The sequence below is a fragment of the Homo sapiens genome, chromosome 18 (genome assembly GCF_000001405.40).
Source record: "Homo sapiens chromosome 18, GRCh38.p14 Primary Assembly".
NCBI lineage: Eukaryota > Metazoa > Chordata > Mammalia > Primates > Hominidae > Homo > Homo sapiens.
In genome coordinates this window covers 27759523-27765522 of record NC_000018.10, presented here as the reverse complement: position 1 = coordinate 27765522, position 6000 = coordinate 27759523, and positions in this window count along the sequence as shown.

Here is a 6000-nt window from a genome sequence, read left to right as displayed (position 1 = left end):
CCGTTTTTTGATGATTAAATAAAATAAAATATGATTGTTGAAAACAGTAAACTGCTTTTCCAAGAATAAGTTTAAGTGAATATGTGTTATTTGAGTAATTTCTAATAAAAGAATCTAATCTGAGAAGCGAAAGATTGAATTGCTTTTACACTTTTGCTAAATATATTAAGCCAGGGTAATATATTACCTCCACTCACCTATATCAGAAGCACTGTGCTTGTTACACACTTCCAGGATGGAATCTAAACCATGCACTTAAAACCTTCTTATTTCAAATTCATGAAATATAACTATCATATTCTCTTTTCATCATCAGTTCAAACTCAGCTGTATATGATAGTGACTGATAAATTCTTTTATCTGTCACAGTCTTGTGGGAGTCCCTACCTGATTCCCTGGGGTATTTGGATCCTCTGACAATGAATTCTAATAATTTGATCTGAAAGGAATGGATATATGTATAGTGTTTTGTTAGCTGAACATAAGAATGACCCACAAATTTTGTGGATCTCTTTTCTTTATTCCTATGCCACGTGATTAAAATTTTAAAAAGTTTATGACCCCCAAGTAAGGATAGCTTCAGCATTCCTTTCTGGATGGGTTAAGGAGCAGTGCTATGGTTGAAAAGGAGGGAGAATTGTCCTAAAACTGCATTTAAATAGCACATACATGTTTTTTACTTAGTATATATGTTAATAGACAATCAAAAGTGTAAAGTTTTTCAATGATGGTGTTATCCACATCTTACATAAGATTGAGAAAACATGAACTGTCAATCCATATCAAAAAGTTAAATCACCAAGTGTGGTGGAGGCTGGCCCATGGAGATTATAGGGAGCTAGAACCTTGTAAGTCACAATTTGTTGCTGTGATTACTCTTGAAAAATACTGAAACAAATCAGAGCAAAAACATACCTACATTACTTAACTTGGTAAATATTAGTTGACGTGCTGATGGTTGGGGCTTTCTGGTAGAACCAGGTACTATCATTGGCAGAAAGGGAACTAGGGGGTGGTGTCTGGCATAGGGACTAGTGTATGATCCTCACCTTTCTTTGCTTGGGGAACTATAGGCAAAACAAAAAGAGCCAAAATTTGGTATCTTTCTCAATGTGGCACGTGGGTCTTGTTTCCACAGCATTTCCTACATCTTTTGGTTTGAGTATGTATTAACAAAATGTCCTGCCAATAGGAATTCTTGAAAATTGTTGATAAGACCCCCACCTCGGGATGTTCAGAAGAGCAACTGTTCCATCTGCTCCTTTGAGTGGAATGATTAAGTCATTTCATGGAGTGAGGATTTTTATTTCATGGGGATTTACTCATTCCTGAATAGCTTTTTTTTTTTCCTGAGACACAGTTAAATTTATGAATCACAGAAGTCTTTCTAAATACCTCTTCCTTACAAACATATAATGGTCTGTTAGTGAGGAATTTGTTTTTGAGAATGTAAGTTCTGAGATTGTTTTACAGCATACTATGTTTAGATTTGATTATAATGAGGTCCCTTGGCCAATATGGTTGTCTGAGAACACTAATCAGAGCTTTCACTGACACTGTTGTAGTGGTGTAGAGAACACAGAAATGAACCACACATGCATGTACATGCCTGAAAATGTGAAATCATTGAATAGCAGAATATAAGGAAGGATCTAAATTGTTACAGAGTTGAACCACTGGGGTGTATATGTATCAGTGGGTCAATACTCTAAATTAATATCATTTTAGAATTTAGCATTGTACCAATTAGAAATGAGAAATCTGATGCTTCCACATCAGATTAGTGGAAATCAGATTAAGAGATGAATGGAAATCAATGATTTCCATTAATGTCTTCATTGTTAGAATTGTGTGACTTATATAAGCATAGAAAAATTAATTCAGTTATTTAGCTTAAGTCATATTTGATGGCCTTTTGGGGAACTACCTAATGATTCAAGAATCTTAGTACATTCTCTGGCCAAAAAAGTTACAGCCCAAGTGCCAATGTTAACAATATCAGTGGAACAATGGGTAAAATACTTCAGACTTCTTGAAGCATGATGTTTATGCCCAAGCTTACTCCCAACTAAAGTGGGGACTTCTTGGATTTTAGAGTCAGTTTTATCTATCACATATCTATCACATTTTGTGAATGGTATATTTTATTGCAAATTTTGTTTTTCAATGCTATTAGATAATTTTGGCTTACTTAGCAATATGTCATTTATTAAAAAATAAAACACATTTTTTTCATTTCTCACCATATTGTGATCCTGTAATACTGTTTTTCATATTGGAAAAATAAGACTTTCTGTTCATCAAACTCTTGAAGATATGTGTCAGCAAGAGATTATTCTCTGAACCATGAAGAAAGATGTCAAAATTCACACCATTGCCTAATTAAGCATTTTCTCCAAACATATTCCCCAAAGCTCTACAGTGTTTGTAAATTGTCTGTTACATATTAATAGGAGAACACATAGAAATTAACTCTTTAACATAATTATAATTATGATAAATATGGGGGATATAATTATAAAAATATCATTATTTTAGTTTCTCAGTGAAGTCGTGTTCCTAATACAAATATTAACTGCTACAAGGCAAAAGTATACCTTGAAAGGAATACTTAATAAACACATGAGGAAGGGAAAGGGCAACAGTTTCATTATTATACTGTGTATATTTTGAAGTTTGAAAAGTAAACCATATTTTAAATGCCATAGACTAGCTTATAATTTAAAGAAACTGAAAATCAAAGAATATAGTGAAACATTTTTCTGTATAATATGAGTACCATTTCTATTATTCTAAATTATCTGTGATTTTCTATTTATTTTTTATTTTTTGGTATTCTTATGTCTTGTATTTGAGTTCTCTTCAAAGCCCGGCATACTTGTGGGCATGTATTTTAAAATTAAATATAGTATTTAGCTTAATAGGATGCAAAATACTGTTTAGTATACCTGTACTGTTGCTATAGAGTCCAAGTCTTTAAAAAATGGTAATTTCTTGGAGTTAATTACCCTTTACATTGATAATCATTATACTGAAAAAAGCTATTAAGCTTATATTAGGAAAACAATAGATACTCAAAAGCTTGTGAGTTTAGGACCAGAAATGTATTATGAGGACCCGAAGGCTAAAAGAAGCACAGGAGGATAGGACAAAGGTCTGAGCTGCAGATTACTTAATCCTCAAATGACTCTATTTACACAAAGGGAATTTTGTGGAAATCATTAGGGGCTTGGTGGTTGCTTTCTAAGCTATGAAGATACTCGAACCTGAAAATCTCCTCCTGTAACTTTCTCCTTCACTTGACACTCTTGAAAGGAATGTCTGGTATGACAGAAAAAGGCAATGAGCTGACTGTAATTATCTTTTAAATCGGAATAGACTCTGCTTCCCTAAGCTTGTAATTGACCTTTTTAATATTCTTTTACTGTGCAAGAGGCTTCACGAATTTCTTGTTATCCTCCCCAACTTTAGCCTGTTAGTTTACTATGCTGTTTAATTACTGTGTATTTGCTATAGAACCTAGAGTAAATAAATATGTACAATCACATAATTAAATTAGAATCTGCAATTATGATGTTATTGTGATACATAACTTTCTATTAAGCTTTATCAAATGAATTGTCCCAAGCATATACATTATGTTCAAAATCTCAATAGATGACTCCTCCAATTTGTTCTTTTTCAAAACAATTGAATGATTACTATACTTTCTGTGTTTACAGGAAATGACCGTGTATGTAATTTGTAAGTGAGTTGTATGTGTTCTCATTGGCTCCCTCTGGAATTCTACATGGTGAATGTTCAGCTCTGGCAATTTGTAGAGTAGAATGGTCAAAAGAATATGGTGGATGGTGCTGCAAGTGACAGCTCAGCTGTGTGACAGACCTCCTGGGGAATAATAAGGGGTAGATTTATCAGGATATTAATGAAGGCAAACTCAAGATGTGCGAACACCTTCAACCCTGGGGGAGGGCCCCACCATGGTCTTAGCATAGTTACAGAGTCAGTAAAATTTCCTATCTCTTTCCAGTTGGACTTTCCTCCCATTACCTCTTCTCACATTGGGTGGTATTGGGTGGCTACAAGTTATCTTTGATATCTGGCTAAGGCATAATTGAACTGAGAATACATTTGTTGGGTTTGATGGGACATATTTGTATGGTTTTTAGTCACTTCTATATAGAAGTAAAAGAGTGTTAACTGTCCTGGCACAGCAATGACTTCCTGGATACTCCCACTGTCCTTTGTGCTAACTGAGCGGGCACCTTGACCCAAAGGGGTCAGGTGATTTGAAAAGATGTTTCGGAATGTTTCAATAAAATAAAATTTATTAGACTCAAATTTAGATTAAAAATACATAAAACTGAAACAAAGTCATCAAAGTGATGAAATCAATAGAAATTATGCTAACATTGGCATATAATTATAACCAGAATTTTTCAGAGCATCGCAAAAGCAATAGTTGAGAGGGAGTGATAAATTTCTAATGGAAGTAGTGTATAGGTTCTTGGATTGAACCATATGCCTGAATAATATGAGCACATTGGGCAAATATTAAAATTTCTTGATGATTTAATGTAAAATACTAATAATATAGCAACAATAATAAAATACATATTATACCTTTATATTGAGGTTATCAGTGACAAACTGGTTAATGAATATCATCAATGTAAAAAACACTTAAATTAGTCACAGTGAAAAAAACCCTCACAATGCTTAAAAATAAAAAGATTCATTTTTCAAATTTGATGTCTATCATGAAATATACTTATTAACAATGATGTCTACCATGAAATATACTTATTAACAATGATTTGAGACGTTTAAAGTTAAAGTTTATAAACTGTCAATAATACAAAACTTTTATCAATCAAGGTAGAACAAATGTCATGAAACTATAGTCTACATTTTTGTATGGTCCATGTGCTAAGAATGATCTGCATTTTTAGATTACTGGGGGAGAAACAGATATATGACATGTGCAAATTATATACAATTCAAAATTCAGGGTCCATAAATAAGTTTTATTGGAACACAGTCATGCTCATTCATTTACGTATTGTCTGTTGCTGCTTTTGTGCTACGACGACAGGGATTAAGTAGCTACAACAGCGACTGTATAGTCCTTTAGGCATACAATATTCACTATGTAACCCTTTATAGAACAAGTTGGCCAGAGTCTGATGGCAGAGCAAAGACTGAATTTTCTCCATAATAAATGATATTATCAAAATGTTTGTTACAGGCCGGGCACGGTGGCTCACGCCTGTAAACCCAGCTCCTTGGGAGGCTGAGGTGGGCGGATTGCCTGAGTTCAGGAGTTTGAGACCAGCCTGGGCAACATGGCGAAACCCTGTCTTTACTAAAAATACAATTAGCCAGGTGTGGTGGCACATGCTTGTAGTCCCAGCTACTGGGGAGGCTGAGGCACAAGAATCACTTGAACCCAGGAGGCAGAGGTTGCAGTGAGCTGATATTGGGCCACTACACTACAGCCTGGGCGACAGAGTAAGACTCTGTCTCCAAAAAACAAACAAACAAAAACACAACTTTGTTATATAAAGAGGTGATTAATGAGTATCAGCCAAATTATGTAAGAAAAAGAATATGACAGTATTGAAACAGCTAATTTCATAAGCATAACTTGTTATCCTTTTAGATTTTATATTTGTAATATTTATCTGCCTTTTCAAACTTTTCTCATTCTAAAAATTCACTTTCATGTCTAATTTTGTATTTGTAGTTTTGTCTTTTTCTTAAACATCACCCTCCTAAATTATTTAAGTTCTAGGTCCAACAAAACTGGATGCACCACTTTATTATAAACTACACTTTCTGACTGAACTGTAGCTTGAATGCAGTTTTCATGCTACGTGTCTGTCCTATTTATAAACATCACACATTAGATTGAAATTAGTTTTCAGAAGGCAAACAAGCATCGAGGGTGAAATTTTAAAAAAGAATTCTGCTAAATGTTTTACCTCATTAGAACTTGAC